Source organism: Homo sapiens, chromosome X, assembly GCF_000001405.40.
Source record: "Homo sapiens chromosome X, GRCh38.p14 Primary Assembly".
NCBI lineage: Eukaryota > Metazoa > Chordata > Mammalia > Primates > Hominidae > Homo > Homo sapiens.
Window position 1 is genome coordinate 44214034 of NC_000023.11, and position 22731 is coordinate 44236764.

The 22731-nt window shown below is 39.3% G+C and overlaps 1 protein-coding gene across 4 annotated transcripts in view, besides 1 other annotated feature; it reads right to left on the minus strand.

Moving 5' to 3' along the window:
- The window catches only part of EFHC2 (EF-hand domain containing 2), a 195801-nt gene that overhangs the window by 66162 nt on the left and 106908 nt on the right, over positions 1 to 22731 (minus strand). For all 4 annotated transcript variants that reach the window (XM_047442535.1, NM_025184.4, XM_006724562.3 and 1 more), the window contains 3 exons: positions 21272 to 21414; positions 18448 to 18644; positions 15616 to 15746 (listed from right to left, as the gene is read on the minus strand). In XM_047442535.1, the coding sequence (XP_047298491.1) occupies positions 15616 to 15746; positions 18448 to 18644; positions 21272 to 21414 (471 nt within the window). The remainder of the gene's footprint in view (positions 1 to 15615; positions 15747 to 18447; positions 18645 to 21271; positions 21415 to 22731) is intronic.
- Positions 14646 to 14695: a silencer, noted in NCBI's record as "silent region_20782". NCBI's record gives its function as "represses an Ori minimal core promoter by ATAC-STARR-seq in GM12878 lymphoblastoid cells {active_cell/tissue: GM12878}" and the evidence as "EXISTENCE:reporter gene assay evidence [ECO:0000049][PMID:35858748]".

The following is a 22731-nucleotide window of genomic DNA, read 5'->3' on the forward strand; positions in this document are numbered from 1 at the left end:
GCAAAGAGAGAAAAGACTGACAAAAAAAATGGAACAGAACATCCAAGAACTGTGGGACAACTACAAAAAGTGTAACAAATAGGTAATGGGAATACTAGAAGGAGAAGAAAGAGAGAAAAGAACAGCAGAAATATTTGAATAAGTAATGATTGAGAAATTCCCTAAATTAATGTCAGACACCAAATCACAGATCCAGGAAACTCAGAGAACAACAGACACGATAAATGCCGAAAACAAAACAAACCAAAACCAAACCAAAACAAAAATACTGCACCTAGGCATTTCACATTCAAACTGTAGGAAATGAAAGTTAAAGAAAATATCTTGAAAGAAGCTACAGGGAAAAAAATCTTACCCATAGAGGAGCAAAGGTAAGAATTACATCTGACTTCTCAGACACCATGCAAGCAAGAAGAGAGTACACTGAAATATTTAAAGTGTTGAGAGAAAAAGACCACCAATCTAAAATTCTGTATCCTGTGAAATTTTTCCTTTGAAAGTGAAGGAGAAATAAAGACTTTCTCAGCAAACATGGAGGGAGTTTGTTGCCAGTAGACCTGCCTTGCAAGAAATGTTAAAAGAAGCTCTTCGAAGAGAAAGGAATTCTCTAGGTAAAAATCTTAGATCTACATAAGGAAAGATAGTGCATTAGAGAAGGAGTAAGTGAAGGTAAGTAAAAGCTTTTATTTATCTTATTCTTAAGTGATCTATCATAAAAGTTTGTTCAAATAATAGCAACAATGTATTTGATTATGCATGGTTTTATACTTATGTATGCTTATATGTAAGTGAAATGAATGACAGCAATGATACAAGAGAAGGGGGAAGGAGTACTTGCCTACTGGTGAAGCTAGTATAGTGTTATCTGAAACTGAACTTATGATGTGGTTTGGTTCTGTGTCCCCACCCAAATCTTATGTTGAATTATAATCCCCAGTGTTGGGAGAGGGAACTGGTGGGAGGTAATTACATCATGGGGGCAGATTTCCCTCATGCTGTTCTCATGATAGTGAGTTCTCAAGAGATGTGATGGTCTAAAAGCATGTGGCACTTCCCCGCTTGCTCTCTCTCTCTTTCCTGCCACCCTGTGAAGAAGGTTCTTGCTTCCCGTTCACCTTCCGCCATGACTGTAAATTTCCTAAGGCCTCCCAGTCATGTTTCCTGTATAGCCTGCAAAACTGTAAGTCAATTAAACCTCTTTTCTTCATAAATGACCCAGTCTCGGGTAGTTATTCATAGCACTGTGAGAACTGACTGATACAATTCGGATTAGTTGTAAATGTATATTGCAAACTCTAGAGCAACCACTAAAAATTATGCCACTCAATAGCACCAAAAATATCAAATATCTAGGGAAAAATCTAATGAAAGATGTAGAAAACCTCTAAAACAAAACAAAAAAATGATAGTTTCTTACAAAGTTTAAACATACACCTACCATATGATCAAGACATTCAACTCCTATGTGTTTACTCAAGAGAAAGCATACTTCCATTGGGGGGGGGTGGTGGGTGTTGGAAGGGGGAAGGCAGCGTGATAGAATTGTTTTGTATCTTTATTGTGGTGGCAGTTACACAACTCTAGGAAGGCATCACAACCAGAACTGTACACCAAAAAAGTGAATCTTATTGTATATGAATATAATTTAAATTAAAATTTTAAAAATCAAATGTGGTCTTAGAAAAGGAGACCACATCTTCTTTGGATGGAAAACACATCTAAACTCACAAAAGCCTCCACCTCACCTGGCTGAATTCAGGTGAAAGGAAGAGATTCCCTACTGTTCTTGCAGATGGAAGACACAAGTACAAAGAATCTTGACGTGCACACACACACACACAACGTGTGTATGTATCTATATATATCCACATACATACATATTTCTGCATTTTAATTATATGTATGACAAGGGAAGGTCTTTGAACAAGAGATTCTTCCAAGATGTGGCATGAGATTTCTCTACCCCTGCATTTAAAAAACTGGAAAGCCATGACCTTGAGGCACTAAAGGATATCAAATTGTTCTCCAAATAACCAAAAATTAAATACTTCGTGTGAATGCAGTATAGTTTCAGTATTTCATTTCCCTGGAAGGCATTGATGTATGCTGTTCCAGTTAATATTGCTTTTTAACAAACTACCCTAAAAATTAACAGCTAATAACACCCATTTTGCTATTTTCATGGTTTCTGAGAGTGAGCAATTCAGACAGAGCACAGAAGAATGTCTGGAGCTTTAACTTGGAAGATTCTATAACTGGAGGCTTGAATTATGCCTGACAAGGGCCATTAGCTGAGATATCAGCTGGGGCTCTCAATCAAATTACCACCCACATGTGGTTGGTTTCTCCGTGTAGCCTGGGCTTCTTCATAGCATAGTAGCCTCAAGGTGGCAGGACCTCTTACACACACAGTAGCTCAGACTCCAAAGGGAAGTGTCACAGCAGACAATGCACAACCTGCATCTTTTCTAGCTTGGCCTCGGAAGCCACGCAGCATTACTTCTGTCATATTCTATTGGTTACATATGAGTCACAAGCCCACTCGAGATTCAAGGGAGGTGCCAAGATCATACACTGGGGAAAAGATAGTCTCATCAATAAATGGTGCTAGGAAAACTGGATATCCATATACAAAAGAATGAAATGAGACCCCTATCTCTCACCATATCAAATCAAAAATAAAATCAAAATGTATTAAAGACTTAAATCTAAGACCTCAAACCATGAAACTACTACAAGAAAACATTGGGAAACTCTCCAGGACATCAGTCGGGGCAAAGATTTCTTGGGTAATACCCCACAAGCACAGGCAACTACAGCAAAAATGGGCAAATGGGATCACATCAAGTTAAAAAGCTTCTGCACAACAAAGGAAACAATCAACAAAGTGAAGAGACAAGCCACAGAATGGGAGAAAATATCTACAAACTACCCATCTGACAAGGGATTAATAACCAGAATATATAAAAAGCTCAAACAACTTTATAGGGAAAAAATCTAATAATATGATTTATAAATGGGCAAAAAATTTGAATACACATTTCTCAAAAGAAGACATACAAATGGCAAACAGGCATATGAAAAGATGCTCAACATCATTGATCATCAGATAAATGCAAATCAAAAGTACAATGAGATATCATCTTATCCCAGTTAAAATGGCTCATATCCCGAGAGACAGGCAATAACAAATGCTGGAGAGGATGTGGAGAAAAGAGAACCCTTGTACACTGCTGGTGGGAATGTAAATTAGTATAACCACTGTGGAGAACAGTTTGGAGGTTTCTCAAAAAACTAAAAACAGAGCTACCATGTGATCCAGCAATCTCACTGCTGGGTATATATCCAAAAGAAAAGAAATCAGTATATCGAAGAGATATCTGCACTTTCATGTTTGTTGCAGCTCTGTTCACAATAGCCAAGATTTGGAAGCAACCTAAGTGTCCACCAATAGGTAAGTAAATAAGGAAAACGTGGTACTCATACACAATGGAGTACTATTCAGTCAAAAAAAAAGAATGAAATTTGCTCATTATGTTAAGTGAAATAAGCCAGGCACAAAAGACAAACATCACATGTTCTCACTTATTTGTGGGATCTACAAGTCAAAACAAGCAAACCCATGGAGATAGAGAGTAGAAGGATGCTTATCAGAGAGGCTAGAAAGGGTAGTGGGGGAGAGGGGAGGGCAGCAGGTGGGGATGGTTAATGGGTACAAAAAAAAATAGAATGAATGATAGTATTTGATAGCAGAGCAGGGTGACCATAGTCAATAACAATTTAACTGCATACTTTAAAATAACTTAGAGTGTCATTAGACTGTTTGTAACACAAAGGTTAAATGCTTAAGAGGATGCCCCATTTTCCATGATGTGATTATTATGCATTGCATGCCTGTATCAAAACATTTCAGGTATCCCATAAATATATACACCTACTATGTACCCACAAAAATAAGAAATTGTAAATTAAAAAAGATTCAAGGGGAAATGACATAGCCCTATCCCTCAGAAGAAGAAGGGTCAAGTTCACATTATAGGGGAGCATGTTGGATAGGAGATACTGTTGAAGCAATCTTTGGAAAATATAATCCACTATATGTGTAGTATACAGTTTCTTTCAGTTAATAAGATCATTGGTATCCAGCATTCCTCAGTTAACTAAGATATTATTTTAGTGAGAATACTTCAATTTTTAAGAAATACGAATGTATTACATAAGGAAACTATTGAAAACTATAAGATTTGAGAAAACATAAAAGGCCAGTATTTTAGCTTCCTTTGCAAAGGAGATTTTGATATTTTAACAGTCAAAACTATACCATAGAATAAGAAAAAAAAAGTATGGGTAAGACATCAGTAATTAAATAAGAATTTGAAAATTATGAAAACTCTTCCATTTCAAAATTATATTCTAAAGCTCTAGAATTATTTTTTTCTTTACTTTAATATAAAATATGCTGGCCCATAATATAAGAATTCCAAATAAGCATTTTAAGAATTTAAGATGAACCTTGATCCCTACTTCACACCATATACAAAATTTAATTTGAGATAAGTCATAGACTTAAAAGCGAAAGCTAAAACCATAAAGCTATTAGAGGGAAACATAGGAGACTATCCTAGGCGACTTTGAGCCAGCCGAAGGCATCTTAAACAGATCACAGAAAGCAACAACCATAAAAGACTGACAATGTGGACTTGGAAATGTAAACTGATACAACCACTTTGGTAAAAGGTCTGGCAGTTTCTCAAAACACTAAACACACACTTACTTTATGTATGACCCAGCAATTCCATTCCTAGGTATAACCAAGAGAAATAAAAACACATGTTTACAAAAATATTTGTGCCAGGAATATTCAGACCAGGTTTATTCATATTAGCCCCAAATCGAAAACAACCCAGGTACCCTTTGGCAGGGGAATGAATCAACAAATGGTGGTATATTCATACAATTGAATGCTACTCAGTAATATAAAGGAATTAGTGATACACTCTATAATACGAATGAATCTCAAAATCATACTGAACGAAAGAAGTCACAAAAGAGTACACACTGTATAATTCCGTTCATATGAAATTCTAGAACAGAGAAAAACCACCTATAGTTAAAAAAAAAAAAAAAGCACCTAAAGTGAAAAAAATATATATCAGAACAGTAGTTACCTCTTGAATGGCAGATGTGCACAGGAATTGACTAGGATGGAGCATGAGGGAACTTTCTGGAGTGATGGTAATGTTCTATGTGTTAGTAGGGATCTGGGTTGCACAAGCGTACATTTGTCAAAACCCAGCAAATGTATAAAGTTTGTGCATTTTATTGAACATAAATTTCACATCAAAAGAAAAACTATAAATAAATAGTAAGCATGCTAAAATATTTAGAGGGAGGTAACTGATGTCTATGATTTTCTTTGAAATGCACGAAAATTAAGATGGGTTAATAGATGGATATAAGAATGTATAAATGGAGAGATGTGTGACAAAGCAAGTAAAGTTAAGAGGTTAATGGCACAGTGGTGGATATATGGGGTGTCCACTGTTTAATCTTGCCAAATTTTCTGGATGTTTTAAAATTTTCATAAAATGTTGGAGAAAATGAATGGGTAAAACATGCTAATTTGATAGGAATTTGAAAATTATAAAAACTATTTCATCTCAAAACTTAACTTTAAACCTCTGAAACTTTGTAATTGCAGAAACATAAAATATTGTGGCCCCTAAAATAAGAATTTTAAGTAAGCACATTACAATTATGTGACTGTAGTCAATAATCAGAGTAGGTAGAGTACCAACTACAGCAACCTGTGCGCTACTCTATGATTCCAAGCCTCTTGACTTTTGCTCAGAACATTCTGCCAGCATCTGCCATTAGCTGTTTCTGGAAACTGAAGCAAGAAATAAAAAATGTTCTTTCTGAAAAACTGTTCCATAAGCTCTTTTCCCAGGCTTTTTGGTTTTATTTGTTTGGGTTTTATTTTATTTAAATTGAAGTTTTAAAAAATAATTGCTCATTGTAAAAAAAAGTAAAAATCAAGGAATGAAGCATACTCCACTAATAGCTTCGTGTGTAGCCTGCTAGCATTTCTTCAAAGGATATACATTCCTTGAAATATTTATATAAATATACATGCACACACAACTTTTACATTTTTGGCATAAGTAGGATATTAACACACTTCTGGATTTTGCTTTATCTACAAAACAGCACAACACATATGTGGTAGCCACTCATAGCTGTTCACCAAGATCTGGTTTCCCTCCTTCTTCTGAGCACATGAGTGGGGTCCTGTGACTAGTGCTAGCCAATAAATTGAGAGTGTAAATGATATGTATTTCTTGCCAAGTAAGAATTTGTTGTACTTGACCCTCCAAAATTCTCTTTCCTTTATGGCAATGTGACTGCGAACATTCAAGGTAGTGGCTATTCTGTCAGCCTCAGTCTCTGAGTGGCTACTATGAACAAAATTCCCCTGACAACCACAATGGATACATAAAGTCAGCAAACAATAAACCTTGGTTGGTTTAATTCCCTGAGGTTCAGGGGTTGTTGTTACTGCAGCATTACTTAGACAATCCTAACTGATACATCAAACATTTTTTCTGTTATGCCTATGTGGTCTACCTCTTTCTAATGGCTAAAAAATATTGTCTGAAATTAATGCAATAGAATATATCCAACTATTTCCCTATTGTTGGGCATTTTATTTTTCTAAATGTTTACTATTACAAAATTTGCTGCAATAAATATTGTGCATGCACATACACATATATTTATCAATCCACCTGTCCAAATTTTTTTCAAATAAAAAATTTCTACAAGTGCAACTACCAGGTAAGAGTCTAAACATTAGACACATTCTGCCGATTGCCCTCCAAAATGCTGAACCAATTTAAACTCCTATCAGTGGAAAATGAGAGTACCTGTTACCACACATGTTCACCTGGAGTCAGTTATATTATTCTTTTTAAATGTTGCCAATATAGTAAGTGGAAATAATATTTCATCATTGTTTCAGTTTGTGTCATTATTGGGCATCTTTTCATAGGTTTAAAGACTATTTGTATTTCTTCTGTGAACTATTCCTGCCTTTGATCCATTTTTGTGTGTTGATTTTATAGGAGTTCTTAAGTACTTAATGTTAATCCCCTGGCTCTTACACTGGTTATAAATATTTTCTCTTAGTCTGTCCCTTGTCTTTTAAGTTTGTGATAGCTTTTGCCATAGAGAGAGATAAAATTCTTCTGTAGTCAATATAATCTTTCCTTTATGGCTTTTGGAAACTGTGCTCCACCACAAAATAAGCGTATAAAGGCATTTTCTAGTTGACTGTCACCAAATCTTTATTAATAATCCATTCTTTCTCTACTGATTTGAAATGTTCTCCATACTTATACGAAAGTTCATAAAAATAGCTCTTCTATAGACTCTACACTGTATTTCACTGATATTTTTGTTTCTCTGCTAGAAAATGTTTTCAAATGTATGTAAATCATATACCTTTCTAGTATCTACATTTTAATATTCTTTTCAACATTTTCTTGGATATTCTCAACCCCTTATTCTTCTTGATGAACCTTCATAATCAATCAGTCAATTTATCTCCCTTAACCCTGTTAAACAAAACCAAATCTAACAACAGCAAGAGCAAAAACCTGCTGTGCAATTCTGATTGGAATTGCTTCAAATCTATAAATTTGGAAAATTAGAATTTTCACAATATTGTCTTCCCATTCAGAGATATCAAGTTTAAAAATTGCATTCATTTTAGTCTCACGCTTCTTGTCCAATTTATTCCCAGATATTTCATTTTTGTTGCTACAGCAAATAGTATTCCCCTTTTCAGAACACTTCTTAACTAGTTATTGCTGATATAAAGTAAAGCTATTGTTCTATATATAGCTTTCTTATATTTAGCTACTTTCCTGAATACTCTTAATAGTTCCAACCATTTTAAAATTGATTCCTTTGGATTTTCCAAGTATACAATCATATTTGGATTCTAATTTTAAAAAATTAGTCTTCAGTTCTATTTTGAACTATTTATACAGTGATTCCTAAATGCCTATTTCCACAATACCTAGAGTAACAAAATAATGGAATTTTATGTCTGGGAGGTGCCTTATATGATCTAATCCAAGAATTACCTAGTCTAGTACCTACTGGGGTAGGTATGTAAGATAAATAGGAGAAAGTGCCTTAGCGTGAGACAATAAGGACTTGTAGAAACTGAGAAGAAATGCAGAGAACAGGCTCTATCTAAGGAGGGCAAGTGCCATTCACCCCCAAAAGATTGTTGCCATAGAGAAATGTGGGTCCAATTTCTATTTTCCAAGAGGCACCAGATATATATATTCTTAGGTTTAAACTCCCAATTTTAAAAACATTAAACAAAAGCCATACAAAATATAACTGCCAGCTTTCAACCTATAAACCTGTTTTTAATCCAATACCTTCATTTAAGGCAATGGAAACTCAGAAAAGTTCATCAGAGATTGCAAAAGTAGCCAAGCGTAGGGGAGGGCTTTGCCTCTTGTTTAGCTGCTTGGCGAGTCAAAACAATATTTTCAAAGTACTAAAACTAGGTAGGTGCTTTGTCCCTGTTGTCAACATATATTCGTGTTCCCTGTTTGGCTCATGTTGGTTTGGATTTACTATCCCTGCAATATTCATGGCAAATGAAAAGGGTATCTTTTATTTATTCAATTTCCCCCCAGCTTTATTAAAGTATAATTGACAAATAAAATTGTATATATTTACAGCACATAATGTAATGTTTTGATACAGGTATACATTTAGAAGTAATTAACTCAAGCTAACTCACATATCTATCACCTCACATGCTTATTTTTTTGTGGTGAGAACATTTAAGAGCTACTCTCTTAGCAATCCAAGTATATAATACATCATTATTCACTATAGTCACCATGATGTACAATAGATCTCCAGATCTCCAGAACTTATTCATCCTGTCTAACTGAAACTTTCTACAAAGGCTATCTTTTAAATAGCCTTTCTATATTTGGGGAAATTCCCACGTAAGTTTCCTACCACCCCAACATAGAGGTCAGAGCTCAATTTCCCAGACTTCCTTGCAGTTAGAAATATGCAGGTGACCCAGGCTCTCTACCAATCAGGGAAGCTTACTTAAGACTGTGCCTCAGAAGGGATTAACAGAAGAAAAGCAGCTCAGGGTGGGCCACGTTTGGTGTCAAAGGAGCCCAGCCTTCAGGGGTGGTAAAGGACGATTGCCAGAAATAGTGGTAGTTATGGCTGTGGTAAAATCAAGTTCTTGGCAGCAATGCAAGTGCAGCAATGAGTCATGGGTGGTGGTAACAGAGGTCATTTTCTCATCAGACAAGTTCTACAGCCCTGTTTTGGGCACTGTTCCTATAGTTCAGCCTTGAGCTTGTTTCTCCAGCCCTTCCAAAGACACTGTGAACCACCCAGGCTCCTTTTAATAAATTCCTTTTTTTTTTGCTTAACTAGCCAGAGAGGATATTCCTTTTTAAAACTAAGCCCTCACCAATACAAACACCACCACCAGACAGTGACAGAATCAAATCAAAGATCTCCATCTTTTTGATTCCCAGGCTAGCATTCTTTCTACAACATCACATTATTTATATTTAATGCTTTTAGGAAAGTTCAAAATGCTGTTTTCAAAAACATATATGGAAATTTCCATTTTGAAGACAGGCTATGAATACTGTCCAAGAATCTATTTAGTTCATGATAAGAACCTATGTTTGAGTGCTTTGGGATTTTATTTGTCTTTGTTTTTGCTTTTGTTCATATAGATTCATAGACTAGTGGCTTCCTTAAAAGATGCTAGATTGCTTACAATAAAAAACACCAATAGCAATGTACACAGAGTAGTCCAAATAAAAATAGGGCAAAACCATATAAAAGGAGAGATAATTGTCCTAGATAAATCAGGATGAGATCATTACCATGTTCTAAGCACTAAATTTACAATTTGCTTCCGTGAAGTAAAGGACAGCAATAGGGTAGATTATATTAATGTTTCCCAGCCTTGGTCCACCAACAATGATGTTTATTATTTTCCATCTTCAAGGCCTACAAGTTTTTAGAGTTTCTCTTTCAACCTCATTTATTAAAGAATGTTTTGAATGACCCCCACCATGAGTAAATATAAAGCTTATTGAAATACTGGAAACAAGATGTACCTTCCTATTACTGTTGTTGGTGACACCAGTTCACAACTATTGGGATAAAGCATTTTCACTTTCTGAGTATCCACCATGCACTAGTCAGCTACAATAAGAATTTTAATATCAGTATCAAATGTATTCATCACAACAGCTGTGTCCTATGTATTACTATCCCCATTTTACAGATGAAAAAATTATTCAGCAGCTTCCCCAAGGCCACTAAGCTGGTAAACAAGAGAGCCAAGAGCTAGATCTGGGTTTGCCAACTCCAAAACCAGTGATAAGAACTATTTCTATTATATTACCTCTTTTAGGAAGAATTTTAGTTTTACAAGGGAGAAAATCTCCTTGAGGTTCTAAATCTTAGAAGGAATTTATTACATGGATGTTCACAGGAGAGCTACTGACTCTGCAACTGATAACGGGGACCTGAAGAAAAAATCTGTAATAATTCACTATGTTCATTGAGGTCTGATACACTGGGTTCTGGAGGCATCTGGGAAAGACACAAGAGTGAACCAGGCATGGGCCCTGCCCTCTGAGAGCTTCCCCAGGTGGAGAGAAGAGACAAGCACTCAGCTAACCAAAATACACACAGGCTACATGGGGCCAGGTGTCATCTCTGATGGGTAGATCAAGGCTCAGGGAGGTGGCCAGAGAGATGGACTGACCACATCTTCCTTGGCATTGGGCTCTCAGTGCTGCTGCTGCTGCTGCTGCTGCCTGTGGTTCAGAGTCCAGGGCCCTCACTGGGAAGCCCCACCCTGCCTATGTTCCCAACTGCATGAAATACTAGCCCTGCCAAGCTTAGTCCCTGCCCTGCTCCCTGCTGAAATCTGCCCACCACTGCCACCAGGTATCTATCCTAAGGCTCTAAGAAAGGTTATCTGCACTCTCTTGGATAACGATCAGCAGCTCTCACAGGCGAATCTGATAGACCATGCCAAAAAGATTCTAAAGAGGATCAATGAAACAGAAGCAGAAGTGGTGAATTCCCACAAGGCAAAAGAGAAATGTTCCCTACCCAAATAAAAAAATTAAAAAAAAAAAAAACAAAAACCATTCCCTACTTCTGTTTCCTGATGGCTGCCTGTCCCTGCATTCCATCAGGTCTATTCTGAGGCAAATATCTCCGAGAGGCCCACACATTAATCCATTATTGACCATGGCACCTTATACAGAGGTAGTTTATCAGCTCCTACCCTCAAAGTTTTTCTGAGAGGAGATGCACATCTCTGAGAAAAAGGGCAATGCTGGGGGCTTGGACCACTGCCCAGAGCAGCAGGTCTGGGCCCCGAAGCCCCAGGTGTATGCTGAGAGTGCCAGGTATCTAAGCAGAAGAGAGTCAGGGCCACAGAGGCCAAGCCCATAGGCCTATGCTGCAGTCCTGCCTTTGCTTGCCTCTGCTCTTCTCTACTATCTCAATGTACAAATTTGAAAAGAGAACATTTTACAAGAATATTATAAACTTACATTTTCAGAGTTTCCAGTTGTCAGAGCCTAGAAGGGACCTCAGAGACCAATATATGAACAAATGAGTGAGATACAGGTAGGTGAAGTGAGTTGCCCAAGTTACTTGGCTAGTGAGGATCAGGCCTAGCTTCTCCTTACTTCCCTAAGTAAGAGCCAGATGGCCCTTCCCTGGTGCAAGGAAATCAATTATTTACTTGATTGCTGCAAGCTTTAGACTGAACGTTCCTTGAGAAATAGGATCGTTCATTAAATTATTCAGCAAACATCTATTGCACTTGGCAGGAGCTGATGTGGAGGCAGGGAAGCAAACAAGTAACAACTTGACAGGAGGCTACCAGTGAAGAGTAGGTATAAAGCATTTAGCACGATGCTTAGCCCCCAGTAAGTGCTCAATACATGGTGGCTTCTACAAAAGTATTCTTCTAGTGAGATGGAAATACGGAGCTAAAGGTAGGCAAACTCATGTGACACACTGATGCAGGGTTAAGAGCAGAAGAATGATCCGATCAGAGTTTAGGAAGGTCACTCTGGCAAAACTTTGCAGGATGAGAGTTAAGAAAAAGAGATCAGTTACACTGCTCTCCAGAGGGTCCAAGTAAACAGTGATGAAAAGCTGAACTACAACCGTGAAGCTGCAGATGTAAAGAAGGGAAAGTTCCCAGAGGTAGTTCAAGACGTATAATTCCAAAGGGTGAGTGGGAGAGGTCGAGAGAGGGGAGAGGGGAGACACAAAGCCAACACCTGGTCTGGACTCTTGGGGATGCCCATGATGGCCTTTATCAGGATACAGTCTCCTAGCTGCTACTTTATGAAAGAAGAAAATGAGGTCAAGTTAGGGAAAGTTATTTCTGGGATGCCTAAGAGACATGCGAGGGGGAAACGTCCCAGAGGTATTCGTGTTTCCAGGTTTATAGCTCAGGAGAAAGGTCTGAGCTTGAAGAACTAGCATGGACACAATCAGCCTACAGGTCAAAGCCAAAGCAGTGAGGGCTAGATAAAATGTACACATTCAGAACACATGTACACAGGGAGGGGAACATCATACACCGGGGCCTGTCGGGGGGTCGGGACCTAGGGGAGGGATAGCATCAGGAGAAATACGTAATGTAGATGATGGGTTGATGGGTGCAGCAAACCACCATGGCACGTGTATACCTAGGTAACAAACCTGCACGTTCTGCACATGTACCCCAGAATTTAAAGTATAATAAAAAAAAGAAAAAGAAAAAGAAGAAGGAAGGAAGGAAGGAAGGAGAAGAGAAAAGAGAGAAGGTAGAACACAAAAGACACAAAAGCAGAGAATTATCTCAGAGAATTATTTCATCTGAGGCATATTAAACACTAAACAAAAAAAAAATGTACCCATTCAACTAGTATTTATTAACACCCTATTGTTTGCCAGACACTGAAATAAGTCATAAGGCTAAAGCAGAAAACAAGAAAGAGAAGGTCCCTGCCCTCAAAGAGGTTATATTCTGATGAGGAGAGTCAGAATACACACACACACACAAACACACACACACATACGCATACATAATGAAAGGAAAATATTAGCTAGTAAAAGCACTGAGCAAAGAATTGAATTAGGGTATGATGTGATAGACACGGGCTATGTAGTTCCTTTTTCTTTGCTCAAAGAGTTTGAAAAGCATAAGATGGGGCTGAAGACAAGGTGCAGGGACCATTTGTGGGCTGAGCACAAATGAGCAGCCCCAAGCACAGAGGGCTCAGCATCCGGCACCAAGCATGTCATATGGATTGAGACATCTAGACTCTTGGTCTACGCTCTCATTTGAAGGCCATGCCATCACCTCCAAACTAGAACCCCCAGGAACAACTCTAGTGGTTCATTATTTCATTTAGTAACTATATGTATTGAGCCCAGCAGTAGGGGATGCTGCAGGGAACAACACCATTGAGTTCCCCACCCTCAGAAAGCTCACATTCGAATAGGAGAAGACACACACAGCACATACACATAGATACCCCACCCCCAAGTAAACAGATCTCTAAATAAAATAACTGCAAGTTGTGCTAAGTGCTGTGAAAAATATAAACAAGTGGCTAAGAATAACAGCAGGTGATCTACTCTAGATAGGATCTAGAAAGCCCCTCTGAATGAAAGCCCCTCTGGGAGTTGGCATTTGAGATGAGTCCTAGAGTGTGCCATGCAGAGGATGGTGGTGACTGCATTTCAGGCAGAGGGAACTTGGTGTGCATAGGCTCAGAGACAGGAAAGAGCTTGATGTGTTTGAGAAACCGAAAGACAGTCAGTAAGGCCAAAAGACAGGGCTGCAGAAAAAGAGGTGATGACACTGGAAATACAAACAGACTCACATCACTCAAGGCCTTGCTGGCTGCAGTCAAATGTTTGGATCTTATTGTGAGGACAATGGCAAGCCACTGAAGGATTTTTCAAGCCAGGCGAAACCTGATCTGAGTTTCATTTTAAGGAATTTCTGGGACGGGGAGGTCCTTCTTTTAGAGCATGCAGCTCCTTGAGGCCACCCCTCCAATCACAGCGTAGTGGCCCTTTATCCCACCCACAATTAGGGTCAGGCCTCCATCTGCAAAGCAACTTTTCCTCCTTGGATCGCCTGCCTGGCCTAAGTGCTTCCCAAAAAGCCCTATAAACTCACTAAAGTGTTTCCAATAGACTTTGCGAGTGCTGGAAAAATGGATGCTTTTGTAAAAGGACACAAATAATAAAACGAAACCACTCCCTCATTTCTGATGGAAATTTCTTGCTTTCACCTCCACTGCCTTCCATTAGCCCATGGCCTGTGTAATTGTCTCTGCTCTTTACTGTCTCCATTTATTTTCCAAAACACTATGAACATGTGTATGTGACTATGAACAATAACAAAGAACTATAAATTCTTATTGATCCCAGAAGGTTGGGAATTCTAAACAATAAAAATATGTCCTCTGACTGCTTCTCTCCAAAGAACATTTTGGAGACACAAAAGAGCTTTGTTAAAACAACAAATGAGCTCTTGGGACACTCTGGGCCTAATGGTGGGCTCCAGGCCACCAGGTAGTGATGCAATAGGCGACTGCAGACACAAAGTTGGAAAGACCTCCCTGCTACCCTCTCCTGGGCTCACTTCCTCATTTCTCAGCCCACATCTTGACTGCATCAAGCGGAGTTTACTATATAGCTTTCAGCCACTATCGTTGTCAGGAGCCAGAATTCTCAGCCTAAAGAGAAAGTCCCCTTTGTCCTCCATCCATGATTTAATTTATTCTCCTAAATGCTCCATTCACTTTGTTTTCAGCCTAAGAAGTCTCACGATTGTACTAGACCCTGAATTTGAATTTCCCTGTGTTTCTGCTGTTTGGAAATTTGCCTCGGTCAGCCACTGGATAGTCCCAGAATTCAGCTTCACCTTAGAGAAAATCTTAATCATGATTTGTTATAATATTTCCAACTACTGTCATATATTTTTCCCTCGATTCCTATATTTTCATGTCTTTCAGAATACACATATGTGTGTAAGCACATGTATACACAGATGCATACATATCACCTTTGCTCTGATAATCGGTGAAGTTTTTACTATTTTCCAACTTCATCACATTCCTGGAGATGTCCCTCCTTTGTCCCCCAGATTTTGGTAGGGAGGACGTGCTCTTAGCGGTGCTTTTTTCTGTCTTTCTCACTCAGATGCATCATTCCTGGCATTCTGCTGATCCTTCAACCTCCTGATTCATAAGACAATGTGACCAGCTGACTTTCTATGCTCTTGTCCCTCTGTTCTCATGTACAAACTCCTTTTATATGTAAATTCGTAACATTTACTAGAGTATTCGTGGCCAAAACTTTACCACAAAATAATACAAACTCAAAGAAATGCCAATTCCTAATAAAAAATAGTTAACTGATTAGGAAAGAAATAGTTCTCTCTGTTCTTTGGACAACCTTGAGGGGAAAACAGGTGATTGTTAGCAGAATATGGCTTACCTGAATGTATTATAATCCACCATATTTGTGTGCTTAGAGTCAGCAGCTTTAAATACCTGCTTGAGCTCTCTGGATTTTCCTTCTTCTTGCTTCAGCTTTTGTAGGGCAAGTTTGAGGTTACTGAAAGGATACTGTAAGGGGGAAATGAAAGGAAAAACATATTTAAATATTCCTAACAGTTCAGGAGCCCAATCTTGCTGATGGCCAGCAAAGGGACTTCACACTGTGAATATGAAGTTAGCAGATTTGTCTTTGCAAAGAAACCAACACCGAGAAGGCATGACTAGCTTTGTATCTCCTCAATTAAAGCTTCTGGACAACAGCTGACATCAGCATAGGCCCCAGCTCTGAGGGAAATGAGCTTAAGGAACACCAGGCCACAGAGATCAGAAAACAACCCCTGCTTCCATCTCAGCCTCCTCCCTCTAACCCTTGGATAGTGGCCCAATATGTTGGGAGATCCTAATGGAGAAAATGGGGATTCAAAACTGGATAAGTAGCCCTCCATTTTCTCTAGATCTTTAGAATGGGGTCCCCCTGGAACTGCTGTCCATTAGGCAACGCACTGATGAGAGCAAGGCTGGGTATCAAAGATCCACGCAAGCACCCTAACCCTCGCACAGTCATTCTCTGGGCCGTCCACTGTTCCTGTCTCTTATCCTGTGACTAGCTTTTTGACTTGGTAAGAATACTTCTTGCATCCAGTGAAACATAAGGTCGTAAATAATTATAGGTAAGAGACCAAAAATGAGATTAAATTTTAAAATAAAAATATTGATGGCAATTTAGTCTAAAGATCCCTCTCTCCCACCAGAAAATGATCCAGGTGGTTTGGCACCTATCGCAGACCCCTACTCCTCCCACTTTTTTTGCATTTCCTTTCATCTATTTCCATGACAGGATCTATTAGCTCTTTTGAAAAGATTCCTCAGGCTGATATTAAATAGTATAGCAATCCTTCTCTGCTTAGAATGTCTTTGTTAAGGGCAGTTTTAAAATAATGCAGTTTTGACTTGGGATGCTGATTCCAGATAATGTCCTACCCTGCTTTTATTGTCCTCAAAGGAAAAAAAAACCTTTATATCTTATATTTATGCTATATATATTTTATATTAAGGTATAGGCTCACCCTCTGATTAGAAATAGAACTCTAATTTACAATAGCAACACTGATTGAGCTTACCATGGGCCTCATGGTTAGCTCAGCGCTTCATACACATTATCACATCTAATCTTCATAGCAATTCTATCAAACAGGCACTGTTGTTCCTCCCATTCCAAAGATGAAGAAACTGAAGTTCAGGAAAAATACAATATCTAAGGTCCCTCAGCTATTAATGTGGAGTCAGGTTCCCAAGCCAGGCCTGCTGGTCTCCAGAAATCTAAACTCCCAATTACTGAGTTTCTCATCTAGATTCAGTGTTTTCGAATAGCTACTGGTTCAAGGTTTTATGATAACCTGAATCCCTAAGACTACAAATGGAGAGATGGCATGGCAGCCATGGAGGGCGCTTCTCAGGCCTCCTATCAAGAGAGACCCTGTGGAGAAGAGCATTGTTGGCTGACAGACTCCAGCTGCCATACCTTCCGGATTCACACAGAGTTCACAGGCAATGTCGCTGCTGGGGCCACACTCTCCCCAAGCTGTTCCCACCCAATGACACAGCACAGCAGGGGGACTAGAACCAGGTGATTCCTGCCTGACAGGGGACCTCTCTGATGGGCAGTCTGTGCTCTGGGGCTCCCCATCAGCCTGGTTGAGACTTTCTCAGAGCTGTGTTGTCAGCTGAGGCTCTCCCTACCCACCCCTCCTCCTTCCTTTCGCTCTCCTTCCATAGGGGTTCAACCTGCCTCCCGGTCTGAAGGTCCCCCCTGCCCACTCCTGCCCCCTCCCCCTTTATCCTTCTCAGAAATTTCCACCACAACATCTCTCACACTTCTCATTCTGTCTTGGCGTCTGCTTCTCAGAGGATCCAAACTGATATGAATGATGTGATGTACACAGAGACATCAATCTTAGCAACTTAACCCCAGCCATTTTATATATAAATGAGACAAAATTGGCACTGTATGTATATAAATGGCACATAAATATTATCACTTATAGGTAAACTTTTAAAATAAAATTTTCCAGATAGATTTTTCCATATTAGGCAATGACTCCCAAATAAACATGTTTGTACACCGAACTAGTCCACATTTAAAATCAAGATTTTATCAATATGTTATTTTTACCGAACAGCATTGCCATAATGGCACTTGCAGTAACAGTACCCATCTGCCATCTTATTTCAAAAAAAAAAACTCTTTGAGCTCACTGTTGCCAGTTTATCCTTAAATCCTTATTTAGGCCTCAGGTGGCTACTGTTATGGGAAGTTGTAAACCCAGCAACTATTCAGTTCCCTTGAGGTTTCTGTTTGTTCAGGTCTTGGCCTTCTCTGTTGGCCTGTGCCAATTAACTGGGACGGCACAGTGTGTGGCACCAGATTTTTCTTCCTTTCCTATAGTTGTTGAATTTCTTTCTGAAAACATTGTTAGCGTCAGCAGAAAACCCAGGAAACTTGATTCAACCCTGGCCCTGCCTCCTGCCTGTGCCTGGAATCCGTGATGCTGGGCAGAAGAGAACCCAGCATGTAAACAGAGTAGACAAGAACCTGGCCTCTGTGATGGGACATGTGGCCAAGTCACACGAATCCATTATTCATGCCCACATGTGTGAATGCACAATGTACAACTGGTGGCAAGATGAAGAAGAAAAGGCCCTAGAGAAAGAAAAACACAGACTGCGGAGGGCTGAGAGGCAAGTCAAGAATTATACAAAGTAAATTCACCTTATCTGTATTCTGCTCCATGTAGTTTAAGGTATACTCATCAGCATTGAGCAAACGAAATAGGTAACCATTCACATTCACCGTGACTCCAATGTACAGCTCCTCGGCCTTGATATATTCAGATAGTTCACTTTTAAAGACTTCTTGTCCAGGCTTCTTAACGCGACTTCTTTTCAAGAACATCCCACCAGCAATTCCTATAAAAAATAGAAAAGTTCATGAGCAGCCTTTATTCTTAAAAGAACCACGTGACTTGCCTTCAGAGTTACTTTATCTTCAAGCACAGACCACCATATAAGTTACCTGTGAACTCATATTGCCTGTTATTTTTGGACTTAAGGGAAGAATGAGGCAGTGAGTGAAGAAATAAGACTTCCTAGGTGAGGATGTTCAAGACAAAAAGCAAAGCCAGGCATGGTGGCATGTGCCTGCAGTCCCAGCAACGCAAGAGGCTGAGGCACGAGGATCACTTGAGGCCAGCAGTACAAGACCAGCCTGAGCAGCATAGCAAGATTCCATCTCAAAAAAACAAAAAAAAGAAAAAACAGAGAAAAAATGGTGTGTAATTCTAGCCTTTTCTTCTCTCTGTCTACTCCCTTCCCAGTCCAATAAACACTTGGCAAGGACCTCCTATATATGCCCAGCAGCATACTGGGAGTGTGGAACATCAGGAAGGCACTCATCTTTAGAGCACGTTTGAACAGTACCAGTTAGAAAATTCCTCACTTGTGCTTATTTCCACCTATTTGTCCCAGATGATGTCTTATACTTAATCTGACGTGCAGATTAGGTAGCAAATGCCCTACTTCTGTAAAGGAGATTACTTAAGTGTTTAAAGATAACTATGGGAGTCCCCTTAAGTCTTTTTTTCCTACAGGTAAAATTCCTTTGCTTCTTTTAGTAATGCCTCATATTTCTTACTTTCCAGAACTGTCATCATTTCATCTGTTCTCTTCTAGACATTATTTGTTTTGACCTCTTGGAAAGTAGCCAGTAGAGTTGAACAGGGAACTCCAGGATCTTCTGATACTGAACTGAAATCTACAGACCTATAAATATAGCCTGAGACCAGATAAGCTTTTTGGTCACTTCATCCCACTCCTCCTACCACATTCAAAAATGATAGGTGGTAAAAAGACACAGGCTTCCGAGCTCTGTCATTTGTTCGCTCGCTGGGTGATCTTTAGGAGTTATTTAATCTCTCTGAATTCTTATTGGTAAAATGGGAATCAGATGTGTGGAGGCCCTGAAAATGTACTTCTCAGGTCGCCTATAGTGGGGAACATAACTGATGGAAGGCCCCAGCTGCTGTGTTCTTAAATCAATCTTCAGGTGTGTGTTGAGGTCACTCTTCCCACAGGCTGCTGCCAACAGATGAGTGAGCAAGGCAGGGACAGTAAGACAGGCTCACTCCTACAAAACAAGGACTCCTCCAACTAGCAACTTTGCCTCAAGGACTCCCTGTCAACCTTGTCGAAATTTTCTTAGAATTTCACTGCAGTCTAAGACTCCCTCTTTCTTCCTTCCCTCTGTGCTTCACAAGCATCAGAACTGCACTACAGTCTGACAGCTCTCCCAGCCTCTTCTGGCTCCTTCCACATTTTCCCTCACCAGCATTCCCCCTATTAAATCTCTTGCATATTTAATCCTGTCTTGGCATTTGCTTCTTAGAGGAGCTGGACTAACACAAAACCTAACCTCATAAAGTCCTTGTAAGGATAATAGTAAGTTCTCAATCATGGCCACTAGGATTACTAGTAAGCTTGTTGTTGACTACCATCACTCCTTTCTATTTCATACATGCTGCAACTTGTTTGGCCACATCTTCCCCATTCTAAGTGTATAGAGTTGATTTTTGACCTGTAAGAGCATGACTTATATTCATCCCTAGGCAATTTCATATTTTAAGATTTGATCCATTATTCAAATCACTCTGGAGCCTTAGTTATACAAGTTATTCCTTACTCATTGGTGTGCTAAGTAGCTCATACCAGCTCATAGGAGCTGACAGTTGAATTTTCAGAGATTTTGCAAGCCAGTTTTTAAACTCTTGGCTGCTTGAAATTGGCCATGGTTGGGGTATTCACACCATGGAAACTGGCAAACAGTACAAATCAGGGCTTTTAAAATATTTTCAAAGAGCCAGTTAACCAGCACATCACTGATTATTCTTCCCAAATGCGTGTCTTCAGCACTGATAAAAGTTCTAAACATGTTGAGACAAAGAACAGGATCCTACAGTGCCATGATTGGGCAAGTCAATGCCTCTCCTCAGCAATGACAGTGGTACCAGCATATTACAGAGAGGCATTCTGTGGGCCTGAGTGCTGGAACCTTGGCAACAACCTCAACAGACAGAAGGACCAGATAAAGATGGACCCTGACGATTGAATTTGTGTATCTGGGATTCTTGTCTTACAGCCAAACAAAAATGTTGTAAGTAGGACTACCAAGAATACAGACTTCCTCTTGGCTTGCTGGATACAAGTAAAACTAGTGGTACTCAGACCATGATTTTGAAGCCCTTGGGTTCCACAGAGGTACCTCAGAGGCCACAGCGGAAGTGGGGATAGTGGCAAGAAGGAGGTAACCCCAGGTCTCCCAGCCCTAAGCCAACCAAAACTGTTCCACTTCTATCATTTTAAATGTTTAGGTTCCCATTTAAGAGATCTGTAAAAAGAACCCTATTGTTCAGGGTTTTTTTTTATAAAGCCTCTATTGTAGATAATCTAAGCTACAAAATCAGATCATGTTCCCTAATTTTCAACATGAAGAGACACTTAAAATGTTCTCAAGAAAATACTGTGAAGAGTATATCTCTTACCTGAATTCCTCTCTATAGGTTCAAACACTGAAATGGTGTCATCACCGAGATAATATGAAATAACAAACATCCTGTCCAAGTCAACACATTTGTCTGTGACTAGTTTTGCAAAAAAACGGAGTATATTGCTTTTGGAGCCATAGCTAAATGGAAGAGAAATGAGAGTTAGAGCATTATACAGGTAATCTTCCACATATTATGTTTTTAAAAGTCTGCAAAAGATATAATATGGCTTTAATATAGTAGGCATAAACTGTCCAAAGTGAAAGAGTTCAACCATCGTCTAATTAAGGTTCTAAATCTAAATGCAGAGGAATTTTCTCAGTATATTAAGATATCTCTGATTCTTTACATGTCCTGGGTAACACATTGGGAAAATGAACCCAAAACAAACGTCATAAACACACTGTTCAAACCAGCTGCACTAACAGGCTGTTCTCTAATGACAAGGCTAGTCACCAATCACAATAATCATGCTGGAAAGAAGAGCAAGCACCTAGCCCTACTGCCTGGGCAATCCTGGGCTCTGCCAGTATCTGGGGCTACCTCCCCCATTCACCACTCACTGTCTCATGCCCTTTACTTTTCTGTCTTCCAGCCCACATCCTCCCCTCTCAGACTCACTCCTCCAGCTCCCCAGCAACCCCCCAACTTCCTTCAAGGGAAAAATTAACTTTTCCTTTTCAAATGCTATAACAAATATGATAGACCCACCTTTTTTTTTTTTTAAATAGTGCTTATCACTCGTATTGTAAGCCATTACAAGTCTGTTTTCCAAGGACAAAGATTGTCTTATTAACCATTATCTAATATAATACTTTTTACATTGTAAGTATTCAATAAATGTTTATGGAAAATTGTTATGAGATCTGTATTGATTGGAATTTGCACTCAGAATTCTATGCATAAATAGAATAGTCTAGTAGACTAAAGATAGGATCAAATTATAGAATTAAAAGTTACCAAAGCTGATTGCCTGGTCACTGAAGAAATTGATTTATGGTCTGTAGCAGAAGCATGTCTGTGGATATCCGCTAGTGAAAGGTGGACTTTGTAAGAAACAGTAAACCCTTGGAGAGGTCTTTGATAACTAAAATCATTACCCCAGGGAGGTACACAGGAGAATAAACCATGTCCTCTGTCACAACTCTAAGCAGAGAAGTCTTCCCTTGCAGGGTCTCCTATACTGAAAATCATTCTTTCCTTGTGTTCACAGTGATTTAAAAAATAAACCAAGTATTTCTGATTTGCAGAGGCAAAAAGTGCTTTTCTCTGCTCCTTTCTCAGGCTGTACAAGAATCCGGGCTGAAAAAGGATAGCACCAAGATTCCTAGGCTTGAGGCCCCATGTGAGACGGTGTGCAGCAGTTTGGAAGGCTCACCCCAGAACAGCCTGAGCAAAGCAGCCAGGTCTGCATGGCTGTTTTCTCTGTACCCAGTTTCCAGGCTTCAGACAGACCT